Here is a 13,323-nt window from a genome sequence, read left to right on the forward strand (position 1 = left end):
TTCAAATCCAGCCTGGGCAACATAGCAAGACCCTGTATCTAAGAAAAAAAAAAAACAACAACAGAGTTTAGAAAAGGGTGGGACAACCTTGTATGGCTTCCAATTTTATGGATAAGGAAACTGAACTCAAAAAATATTCAGTGATTTGCCCAAGGTCATACCACTGATCTGTGACAGAAGCTGTAGAACCAATGATTACACCTAGCCTAAGCAACAGTCTCCAATACCAAGCTCTCAGCTCCTTGGAGGGCAAAAGCATGCCTTTTACCTCTTCACAGCCTCCTGTATGTCCAGCACAGCATTGTGTACATAGTAAATGCTCAATAAATAAAAATACCATCTAAGGAGAGAAAGAGATCAGGAATAGGAAAGAAGGGAGAGTATGAAGAAGGCACAGCTAGCCTGGCAAATCTAAGAAATCCACGGCCGGGCGCAGTGGCTCACGCCTGTAATCCCAGCACTTTGGGAGGCCAAGGCGGGTGGATCACGAGGTCAGGAGATCAAGACCATCCTGGCTAACACGGTGAAACCCCGTCTCTACTAAAAATACAAAAAATTAGCTGGGCGTGGTGGCGGGCACCTATAGTCCCAGCTACTAGGGAGGCTGAGGCAGGAGAATGATGTGAACCCGGGAGGTGGAGCTTGCAGTGAGCTGAGATCACGCCACTGCGCTCCAGCCTGGGTGACAGAGCGAGACTCCGTCTCAAAAAAAAAGAAAAGAAATCCACATACACCCCTGGCTGGCCGGGCAGTGAGGACCCACCACCCAAGCCAGTACCCTCCTGAGAAGAGGAGGGAAAGTGACATCTGGATCACACCTGGAGACCACAGGAACATCGTGTTCCAGCCTCCAAGTCGCCGCCTGCCTCAACCCAGCACGGAGGGACTTTCACAAACCTCTGGCCTGCTGTGTGGCTGGTGACTCAAAACTGTGCCTGTTGTCTGAGGTATCATTTGTAAAGTGCTTTCTTGGAAGAGAAAATGTTTGGGACAGCTGGAAGAGGAGCTCCCTGTCCTGGAGCCACAAGTGGCCTTGTTGTGTGCCCTATGAGAACACAGCCTTCTTATTTCTCTCCCTCTTCCCCTAGCCTGTGTTTATTTAAATCTTCCACCACCATGGTTGGGGGGAGGGGGAGGGGTGTGCCCAGGACTTCAGGCAAGGTCTTTGGAACCACCAGGGAGCAGGCCCAGTACTTACTGCAGGGACCACAGTAGTCATGGGCACAGGCCCCGGGCCAGGAATCAGGGAGTCTGGCCAGGACAGTGGGAGGCATTGGGAAAGAGTTGTTATTGTGTCTTTGGCAATCCTGTAATTATTGTGTTTGCTGTTATGATTTCTGTCTCTGGTGCCATTTCTCTTGGTAAATCTGTTCCCACTGTGTCTTCTACAGAGAGTCCTTTTAAATATATAAATATGTGTACATTTGATAGCCAGGCTGCTATGTTGACTTCTCAAAGAGTCTGTGGTAGCTCAGGAGGAGAGTAACTGAAGGGAGGATAGATTCCTCTCGGGAAGACTTGCATTTATTAGCAAAACAAAGCCTTCAGGTGGGCTTTCACCACCCCCCAAACCTGCCCCTTTTGCTCAAGTACAGCCACCCAGTGGACCTACTACTACCAACATCCTGCAACCCAAGAGTGTGTCCAAATCACTGGGAACCTGCCTCCAACCCCACCTACTGTACACCAGCTTCTGCTCAATCAAGAAATCAGAAGAAAGACAGAACGGGGGCCAGAGTGCCTTTCCACTCCCAGCTGAAGGGCCCAGGCATTCCCCTGACACATTTTAGAACAAAGGACAGAGCAACAAAGATGTCCCTGACTTACAAGAAGCAGCCAGGCTATTCGTTCCCTGGAAGAGACATCTCCACACACACAAACCATGGTGTATATTTATAAAATCATCAAGGTCTCCTTCCTGGGGCACCTCTGTTTGCCAGTGGCAAACATTAGTGAGGCTTAATTTTTTTTTAATCTTCTTTTTTTTTTTTTTCTGTTGCCCCATGAGAAGCTCCAAAGGCAAGCAGGATTAAGGCTTTTTAGGGTTAGGAAAATTGTCTTAAGAATCACCATAGTGTACTTTCTAGGCTAGAGGAAGAAAAAAACTTATGTTTATATCTACAAAAAGGATATGATTCCACTATGGTGAGAAGATACTTAATTGTAGCCATGCTCTGCGGCAGCTTTTCCTAGTCAATTTAAAGCAAAATTCTATTTTTCAATTCTTACTTTACCAGTTTCTGGTAAGGCGTTGGGTATTTATAAAAAGAAGGCCCTGGCAGGTGCGGTGTGACTCATGCCTATAATCCCAACCCATTGGGAGGCCAAGTTAGGAGGATCGCTTGAGGCCAGGAGTTCAAGACCAATCTAGGCAATATAGCAAGACCCTAGTCTCTATAAACAATTAAAATATTAGCTGGCCATAGTCCCAGCCACTGGGGAGGCTGAGGTGGGAGGATCACTTGAGTCTGGGAGGTGGAGGATGCAATGAGCTGTGACTGTGCCACTACACTCCAGCCTGGGCAACAGAGGGAGACCTTGTCTCAAAAAAGTAAATAAAAATAAGGCCCTCATTAAAAATAATTTATTAGATATTTATAAACAGCACTAATTTTTTTTCCTATTAAAACTAATAATGCAATGAACATATCCTCACAGAACAGGTGTTCTTAAAAAGCTGAATTCCTTCCTTGAAATAGACTTCTAGGATTAATATTATTGGGTCACAGGGTAGGAAAGAATTCCTGCTTGTTATGTGTTATATATATATATCTCCTCACAAAGCTTTCTGAAAGTATTGTACCAAATGGAAATGCCACTAGAAGCGTATGCAGTTATTAATTTGTCCAGGTCAATTTAAGACCTGTTGGTGTTAATGGTATGTCAGGTGCAATGCATTATTTTATGATCCTGTCTGATACCTGATGGAAACAGGTTTCCCACCCTAACAACTCTTCCCTCTAGGGGTGGTCTTTGGTCATATGCCCCATTACTTTTCCAAATTAATATCTTAAAAAAAATTTGAAGATTTCCAGGGCAATAATCCTGTAGTTATTTTGATTAGAATCGTGCCTCTATAAATTATGAATCTACAGATTAAAAATAATAGACATATTGAAAGATTGGATGTTCCCATTCAAGAGCAGCATTCATGTATTATGTTGATTTTTTTTTCCTCCTGCACTCCTGGTCATGTCTGCAGCCATGTTGACAGTGTAAGGGTGTGTCAGAGAAAGCCATTCCTCTCCAGGACACAAGCTTCTCCTCTCCTTTCTGGGCTCTCCCAGGAAGACTTCATGTCCTAGTGCCCTTGCAGCTAGGTGCACCCATGTGGCTGAGCCCTGGACAGTGGAATATGGAAAAAAGTCACGTGCTGCCTGCGGGCCTGACCTCTGACACCTCTCATGAGAGCCTCTACACTCGCTCACTTCCCTCTTCACTTGCCAGCGAGATGTAAAGGATCCTGGGTAGAATCCCACTGGGTGGATCCCACTGGGTGGAGGCCTAGTTCTCTCATCACCATGGGGCAGGCCAACCTTCCCATGGTTTACTGGACCATCTTCACATGGTTGTCACCCTAGGTGTCTGTATCCTAATCTCTTTTTATAAGAACGCCAGTCAGATTAGATTGCAGACTCACCATAATGATTTTATTTTACCTTCATCACCTCTTCAAAGGCTCTGTCTCCAAATACAGTCACATTCTGACCATCAAGTAAGTAAAAAATAAAAATGTTGCTGTGTTAACCCACTAAGATTTGGCGGTTATTTACCTGATTGTTGCAACAGGTAACCTACTTTAATGGAATAGGGAGACTCCCTAAACTTCTAAGCCAAAGACTTATATCAGTCAAGGTTCTCCAGGGAAACAGAATCAATAGGATTTTATAGAGAGAGAGAGAGAGAGGGAGAGACAGAGACAGAGAGAGAGAGAGAGAGAGAGAGAAGGAGAGAGAGAGAGAGAGGGAGAGAGAGAGAGAGACAAACAGACTTATTTTAAGGAACTGGTTCACATGATTGTGGGAGTTTGCAAGTCTGAAGTCTATAGGGCAGGCCAGTAGGCTGGAATTCAGGTAAGAGTCAATGTTGTACTCTTAAGTCTGAAATCCTCAGAGCAGGCCAGCTGGAAACTCGGGCAGCCTTAAGACGGAATTCTCATCTACATTGCAGCCTTGAGACAGAATTCCATCTTAACCCTCAGTCTTTGCTCTTAATGCCTTCAACTGACTAGACGAGGCCCACCCACATTACAGAGGGTGATCGGCTTAACTCAAAGTCTACTGTAATAAATGTTAATCACATCTAAAAAACAAAAAAATCCCTGTCACAGCAACACCTAGACTGTTGTTTGACTGAACAGCTGGGCCCAACAGCCCAGGCAAGTTGACATATAAAAATAGCCATCATAGAAACCAAAGCAGTAACATTTTTTAAAAAGAAATTAGAGAGATCATAATGTAATAAAAACAATATTGAGCTTAGACATAGGCAGATCTGAGTCACAAGCTCTTATAATTGCTGTGTTCTCTTACAAAATATACATATCATCTGTATAGTTTTCTCATCTATAAAAGAAGGATGATGTAATACATCATGCAAGTTTGTGGGAAAAATTTAAAAAGATGTTTGTGGCTGGACGTCTTTGGGAGGCAAAGCGGGCAGATCACTTGAGGTCAGGAGTTTGAGACCAGCCTGGCCAACATGGTGAAACCTTGTCTCTATTAAATACAAAAATTAGCCAGGCATGGTGGCAGGCACCTGTAATCCCAGCTACTCAGGAGGCTGAGACAGGAGAATCACTTGAATCCAGGAGGCAGTGGTTGCAGTGAGCCGAGATCACACCATTGCACTCCAGCCCAGGCAACAAGAGTGAAACTCTGTCTCAAAAAAAAAAAAATTTTTAAAGGAGATGTTTGTAAAGTTCACAGCCCAGTACTTGACATGTGAGAGCAATGGTCCTCCTCTTCTTCCACGCAGAGGGGAGTGGTGCCCTCTCTTTTAGCAGTGGCCTTAGAATGACAGCTCAGCTCCTAAGTCCTCTCCAGCCCATTCCTCAGAGGTGATTCACTGGATTTTCCAACCACTTAGTATACTTAGTCTATTTAGGCTGCAAGAGCCACTTCATCATTACATGGAAATCACAAGAACTCAAAAACAGAAAATCTATTTACAGATAGGTAAATTACAGGGACAGTAAAACTAGTGAGATCCTCAACTTGACCAGCTTAACAAAAATGTATATCTTCAATTCAGAAGCCCATCCTGTTGAATCCACTTCTTAGCTGTATGAGTTTGCTGAGGCTGCCATGACAAAGTACCGCAGACTGGTGACTTCAGCAACAGATATTTATTTTCTTATAGTTCTAGAGGCTAAATGTTGGTTTCCTCTGAGGCCTCCCTCCTTGGCTGGTAGATGGCTGTCTTCTCCCTCTGTCTTCACATGGTTGTCACCCCGGGTGTCTGTATCCTAATCTCCTCTTTTTATAAGGACGCCAGTCACATTAGATTGCAGCCTCACCATAATGATTTTATTTTAACTTAATCATCTCTTCAAAGGCTCTGTCTCCAAATACAGTCACATTCTGAGATATTAGGCGGTTACGATTTAAAAATGTGAACTCGAATTTGGAGGGAAGACACAATTCAGCCCAGGATACCACCTAATTTACCAAACATCTCCATTCCAACCACCCTCATACAATGACATATGCACTAAAAACCTAGGCTCTGTTCTCACTCCCTGGTGCTTAAAGGGACCTCACTCTGACTGTTCTGTTATCGACTCATACCACAAGAAATCATGGAAGATTGGAGCTGATACACACATACACACACACACGCACACACATTCTTTGTGATTGGTCTTCAGCATCCATTCTTTGACCTGGAACTGAGCCGTATAGGAATTGAATTGGTGACCTTGTTAGCAAGATTTTCTAACCACTCACAAATGGAAAGGGAGCATATTGCAAAATAGAACAGGTCAGGGAACTCCTCTTAGCCTACTTACCTAGGGACACCAAGCATATTGCAGTTTAGTAGAAATAACCAATATCTAAATTAAATGGTCCAGAGTGCATGAACTATATCAATAATCAGCCTGCATTTCAGATGAAAGAACCATAAGCATTTAATTATCACAGAAGGCCAAAGAAAAAGCATCCAAAGACTGTTCTAACAAAGAGGTAGACACCCCTCTGAATTTTGAACAGATTTCTAAATCAAAAAGGGCAGTAAATCATGTTACTTATCATTTAAAAATAACCAGGATTTAAGAAATGAAATTAGACAAGTGATTAACTCATCAACTTCAGCCAGAGTTCCTTTGATAGTTGGAAGGAAATAAAAGCCAGCCAAGAAATAAACATTTCAAATTCAGGTGCTTTGCAATCTGTGCTCCAAATGTTTTCCCTCAGCTTGTGAAGAGGTGGCTTGCTCTGCATACACAGCAGCCAAATTGCTGGCTTAAGTCAATTATCTTCAAAATAAGAGCACTGGCAGAAAAGAGGAGAAGCTACAGTCACAATGGTCAAAAGTCCATTAGAGAGAAATAGTCTTTCTAGGGCAGGGACCAGGAAATATGCTGGCTAAACTGGAGGGGTTGTCAAGGTGCTATTGAGAGATGTTTGAGGTTTTACTTTTGTTTTCCCCCTTGCTATTTCCATTTATACTGGGACTCCAAGGATGGGGTAGAGTCTTCTGTATTGAAATTGAAAGATGTCCATGATAGAGTAAGAAAAAATATAGATAACGGGACAGTATGTGTAAAGAGAGAAAGAGAGAGAGAGACAGACAGAGAGAGAGAGACAGAAACAGAGAGAGAGAGAATTGCTTGGTAGATTAGAAGGAGCCAAGGCTGCCTGGGTTCAAATTCCAGCTCTGCTCTTTACCTCCTCTGTGGCCTTGGGCACTTTAACTCTATGCCTCAGTTTCTCCATCTACAAAATGGAAACAATATAAACAGTACCAATTTCCTAGAACTGTTACTGTTATGAGGATTGAGTTAACAAAGGTAAAGCAAGAAAAATGGTAATTCTATAGAATTAAATAGTAAGTGGCCAGACGCGGTGGCTCACGCCTGTAATCCCAGCGCCTTGGGAGGCCAAGACAGATGCATCACTTGAGGTCAGGAGTTTGAGACCAGCCTGGCCAACATGGTGAAACCCTATCTCTACTGAAAATACAAAAATTAGCCAGGAGTTAGCACACGCCTGTAGTCCCAGCTACTTTGGAGGTGAGGCAGGAGAATTGCTTGAACCCAGGAGGCGGAGGTTGCAGTGAGCAGAGATCACACCACTGCACTCCAGCCTGGACTACAGAGCGAGACCTTGTCTCAAAAATAAATAAATAAATAAATAGTAAGTGCTATCCAAGTGTAAACTGCTCCAATTATAGTATGATTCTTTATTTTGTAAAACAAGCCTCCACCCCATCCCCCACAAAAAAAAAAAAAAACCTTTTTAATAACAAGGTGTATTTTCCAGGGTCAAGGTTAGGGTGAGATTAATGAGGGACAATAACAGAATTCACCTCGGGTATAAAATTTAAGAAATGCCAAAAAATTCAGTAATCAAGATAAATAATATTCCAATGCAATGTTTTTAAAAAGTAATGCAAAAAAATTGATGATGAACAAAACATTAAAATTTTAAATAAAGACAAGATCTGTATTACTGATTTTTTTCTTTTGCCTCAGGCTTCAGTATGGCTTGGCATGGGGTATATTCCTTTATATCACAGGCAAATATTTGGCAGGTTATAGCCCAAACTTTTATTTTTGGAGTGAGACATTACCTAGGTGTGGTGAGCAACCAAGGTCAGACACAACCAGATCCGTGCTCATTTGTGTTTTTCCACGAGGTCAGAGTTTTACTGATGCTGTTTCAATCATAAAAGCCATGCTCTTGGCCGGGCACGGTGGCTCACACCTATAATCCCAGCATGTTGGGAGGCTGAGACAGGTGGATCACTTGAGGTCAGGAGTTTGAGACCAGCCTGACCAACATGGTGAAACCCATCTCTACTAAAAATACAAAATTAGCTGGGTGTGGTGGCACATTCCTGTAATCCCAGCTACTTGGGAGTCTGAGGCAGGAGAATCGCTTGAACCCAGGAGGTGGTGGTTGCAGTGAGCTGAGATCGCACCATTGCACTCCAGCCTGGGCAACAAGAGTGAAACTCCGTCTCAAAACAAAACAAAACAAAACAAAACAAAAACCCATGGACTTCCTGGAGTTCCCAAGGAGGCAGTTCTCCTTAGTGTTACTCATTCACTCAGTAGTCAGAGCCATGGGCACACAGGCCCAAGTCTCTCCATAGGTCAGTCAATATTGCAAATCATATACATATATATAGTATAGTACCATATAATAGTATACCTAATCAATATATAAATGTCATAGATTACACATTCCCCATCAAACAAAGTAATCTTTAACTTCAAGAGAAAAGGGGATAGGAAAAAAGGGGTTAACAAACCAGTCCAAGGCAAGTGACCTGTACAAGGAGAGTGTCCTGCCCTGATCTGGACCAACATCAGAGTCTTGCAAGTCTTTGATTTGGGCAGAGCCTTTGGTGGTAGATGCTGGGCGCTGATCATAAGTGATAGCGAGACAAGGTCTATAAAGATGGCCATCACAAGCTGATAAGTCTTGCTCTTTTTATGACCATATTGCCCTCTGGAGAGGACTGAAAGCTAAGAGTTTGCCTGGTTGTTTCTTTATCTGGTTGGGTTCTGTCTCTGTTGATTAGGCAAACATCTGGTCCCTGTTGGCACGATGCCTTTTGAAATGTGAGATGGAGCCTTTTTACAAGATGGAGTTACTTACTACACACTAGGATTTCATTTTCTGTTTTACATTTCTGTATTTTGTTTTTACTTTTTTGCTATGAGAACATACACAAAATAAATGAGGATTCTTACAATTTAATTTCTCCATGAAACCTTGAAAGAAAAACACAAGATGATACTAAAGTACTCATATATCTAGGCAGTCAATCAACAGAAGTGAATGAGGCCTCACTCCCTACAGAGACGCCATCGGCAAACTACCTTCCTGCATTGCAGAGCTTGCTACTTCATTCTTTAAATCGACAAAAAGAGGCTGGGCTTGGCTGTAATCACAGCACTTTGGGAGGCTGAGACAGGTGGATCACCTGACGTCAGGAGTTGGAGACCAGCCTGGCCAACATGGTGAAACCTGTCTCTACTAAAAATACAAAAGTTAGCTGGGAGTGGTGGTGGGTGCCTGTAATCTCAGCTACTCAGGAGGCTGAGACAGGAGAATTGCTTGAACCCCGGAGGCAGAAGTTGCAGTAAGCCGAGATCATGTGCCACTGCACTCTAGCCTGGGTGACAAGAGTGAAACTCCTTCTCAAATAATAATAATAATAATAAATAATAAAAACATAAATCTGCAAAAAAAAAAAACACAAATTGGGAAATAAATAAGAGTAAAATTCACAAAGCCTTTCTGGGCCTCATTTTTTTCATCGTTTCATAGGTTCTCACCAATATCTCTCTTGGATCAAGTGAAGAGTTTTCTATTTTCCTGTTTCCAAGGGAAACCCAGGCCTTCGGGCTGCTGTCCTGCCCCATCTCACTAAGCCCCAAAGTCTGGGAGCTGGAGGGCTCTTCAGAAACCTTATTGGTGAACTGTTGGCAGAAGCCGGGATGAACATGCACTTGTGAATCCAAAGGCCTGGTAATGAGTTTACTTCCACACATACCCAGTGGCTAGACTTTGGAAGTGTTCCTCCATCTCTCTGATTCTGTTTCTTATCTGCAAATGAGAAATAATAATACTCACTTCCTAGGGTAACTGTGATGATCAAGTGAGAGAATATATGTAATGCATTCAGTACCTGGTAGGCCCTCAATAAATATAAGTTCTTTCATTTCTTCTTAGATCAAAGTTTTAAAACATTTCAATTTAAAGGACTTTTTGCTATTAGAGGGAAGCAGAAATATGTCAAAACCAAGGAGCAAGTGATAAGATAGAGATTTCACTTTGGAGAAAGGTGTGTAGCATCTCATTTGCAGTAGATTTTTCCTCCTAATCCCATTCATTTGAACAAATATTAAAATTCTTGGACATTCGATGAGCACAACTGTTGATCTGAGAAGGTGACCCAAGAGCCTGCTGGTAACAGAAGATGGGCAGTGATTAATAATTTGCTATGTTTAATCCCTAAAGCAGATCAATAGAAAGTAGATAGAAGTTTGCTGAAATTTTTTTTCTTTCTGGATTATTTCCAATAAAAAGAAGGCACAACATTTTCCTAACATAGCTTAACCTTCATGAAAATTTTATAATATCTGAAAAAAATGGGGTTGGGACCATGGATCATGACACTTGATAGAAGGTTTTCAAAGACCATTTGTTTACCAACAGCACACTGAAAGCAAGGAGAGTTCACCATAAACCAGCAAATCTCCCAGCATACATGCTGCCATTTCCCCTCAATTATCTTATTATTGCTTTTTTAGAATATATCTTTTTATTTTAATAATATTAATGAAGTTTTCCATCAGAAAAATTAAAGGCAAACATTTTTTAAATCTATAATCCTGCTATCTAGGTAGCCTTTGCTGACATTTGAACAATAAAATAAAAAGCAATGCTTCCACATGATTAGAATATTAATTACGGAAAGGTATAAGAGTAAATAGGAGTTTAGCCTCAACCACACTCCCAACTCATTCTGTTATTTTACCCCAAAAGTAAGCCTAGAGTTCCTTGGAGAGGAGCTGGGCACAGTGGCGTGTGCCTGCAATCCCAAGCTACTCAGGAGGCTGAGGCGGGAGGATCACATGAGCCTAGGAGTTTGAATCCAGTCTGGGTAGAGCATGGCAGGGTTCTATCTCTATTCTTTTTTTAAAAAATTTTAAGAGTTCCTTGGAGAGCATTGCAGAAAAAATTGCAATGCCTATACCAGTCTTTACATATCTTTTACAATTATACATAAGAGATTATGCTAATCACAAAGTTATCCAGCCTTCTTTTTCATCTGTATTATAGGCTGAATTGTGTCTCTCCTAAAATTTATATGTTGAAGTCCTAACACCCAGTACCGCAAAAAAAGACTCTATTTGGAAATAGGGCCTTTAAAGAAGTAATTAAAATGGGGCCATCAGGTGGGCCCTAATCCAGTCTAACTTGTGTCCTTATTAGAAGAGGAAATTAGGATACCCAAAGAGATCCCTGTGTGTTTGCACAGAGGGAGACATGTGAAGAGCCAGCCAGGGAATGGCCATCTGCAAGCCAATGAGAGTGATCTGGGAGGAAACTAACACTGCCAGCACCTTGATCTTGGACTTCCAGCCTCCAGGACTGTGAGAAAATAGATGGCTGTGAGAAAATAGATGGCTGTGATTTAAGCCACCCTGTCTGTGTTACTCTGTTATGGCAGCACTAGCAAACTAACACAACCTATGAGTACGTGTTTGTAATATATCCATGTCAGTGCTCATGGACCAACCCCCCTCATTTCATCATATAAATTATTATAATTGATTTCATCTTTGCCCTATCGATTGACATTTATGTTGACTCCAGGTTTTGGGGTTTTGTTTGTTAATTCAAACAATGCAGCAATAAACATTTGTGCACTGATATCTTGGCATAATTTTGTTATCAATAGAAGTGAATGAGGCCACACTGCCCACAGAGATGCCATCAGCAAACTACCTTAAGTAGTTTGCTGTTAAGTATATCAATAAAGTAAATTCTCAGAAAGAGAATTGCTGGCTTAAAGTATAAATGCATACATACTCGATATTGATAGTGACAACCTGCCTTTCAAAAGTTTCCACTTCCACAAAGGTGCATAAAAATGCCACTTTCTTTGAGGCTGAGCACGGTAGCTCATGCTTGTAATCCCAGCACTTTGGGAGGCCAAGGTAGGAGGCTCACTTGAGACCAGGAGTTAGAAACCAGCCTAGGCAATATAGTGAGACCCAGACTCTACAAAAAAATAAAAGAATTGGCCAGGCGTGGTGGCACATGCCTGTAGTCCCAGCTACTCAGGAGGCTAAAGTTGGAGGATCTCTTAAGTCCAGGAGTTTGAGACTGCAGTGAGCTGTGATAATACCACACCACTCCAGCCTGGGTGACAGAGCAAGACTCTGCCTCAAAAAAAATTAAAAATTTAAAAATATTTTTAAATGCCATTTTCCCTTGCCAGCACTAGATATATCAAGCTTTTTAATTTTTACCAAGCCAATAGCTAAAACATTGGTGTCTTCTTCCGGTTTGTACCTATGATTGAGCGTAAGTATCTTAGAGAGTTGTTGAGAGCACAGGCTCAGGGCCAGATGCTGCCTTTTCCTAGCTGCGTGATCCTGGACAAGTTGTCTGACTTCTCTGTGCATCAGGCTCCTCCTCTGTCAAATGGGAAAACAATGGAAACTACCTCATCGTAAGGGTCCTACAAGAAGTACATGAATAAATAGATAGTAATCCAAGTGCTTAGAACAATCCTTGGAATATGGTAAGCCCCAGATTAATGTTGGCTATTATTGTTGTTATTGTTTAAAATAATAATACATGTATACTGACAATTTGTATTACCCTTGCTGTGAATGCCCTGTGTTACAGACTGAATGTTTGTGTCCCACTCAGAATTCATATGTTGAATCCATAACCCCCGGTGTAGCTCTATTTGGAGATAGGAACTCTAAGGAAGTAATTAAGGTTAAAGGAGGTCATAAGTGTGGAGCCCTGATCCAACAAAATTAGTATCCATACAAGAAGAGACATCAGGCCAGGTGCAGTGGCTCATACTTGCAATCCTAGCACTTTGGGAGGCCAAGACAGGAGGATCACTTGAAGCCAAGAAATTGAGACCAGCTGGGCAACATAATGAGCCCCTATCTCTATAAACAAAGAATTAGCCAGGCATGGTGGCATGCACCTGTAGTCCCAGCTATTCTGGAGGCTGAGGGTAGGAGGATTGCTTAAGGTCAGGAGTTTGAGATTACAGTGGCTTATGATCTCACCATGGCACTTCAGCCTGGATCTTGTCTCTAAAAAAAAAGAAAAAGAAAAGAAAAGTCATCAGACCACACTTTCTGTGCATGCTCAAGGAAGAGCTCATGTGAGCACACAGCAAGATGGCAGCTGCCTACAAGCAAAAAAAAAAAAAAAAAGCCTCAGAATGAAACCTACCTTGCTGGCACCTTGATCTTGGATTTCCCAGCCTCCAGACTGTAAGAAATAAATCTCTCTTGTTGAAGCCACCCAGCCTGTGGTATTTTGTTATGGCAGTCCTAGCAGACTAACACATCCTGATTACATCTTTTATCCATGTTTCTGTCCAGCT

The 13,323-nt window shown here is 42.1% G+C and overlaps 1 annotated feature.

Annotated features, from left to right (window-relative positions):
- Positions 487-1,337: an enhancer, noted in NCBI's record as "H3K27ac-H3K4me1 hESC enhancer chr8:117595153-117596003 (GRCh37/hg19 assembly coordinates)". NCBI's record gives its function as "activates a minimal SCP1, AML or CMV promoter by ChIP-STARR-seq in naive H9 embryonic stem cells {active_cell/tissue: H9 hESC(naive)}" and the evidence as "EXISTENCE:reporter gene assay evidence [ECO:0000049][PMID:30033119]".

The sequence above is a fragment of the Homo sapiens genome, chromosome 8 (genome assembly GCF_000001405.40).
Source record: "Homo sapiens chromosome 8, GRCh38.p14 Primary Assembly".
In the NCBI taxonomy this organism is placed as follows: Eukaryota; Metazoa; Chordata; class Mammalia; order Primates; family Hominidae; genus Homo; species Homo sapiens.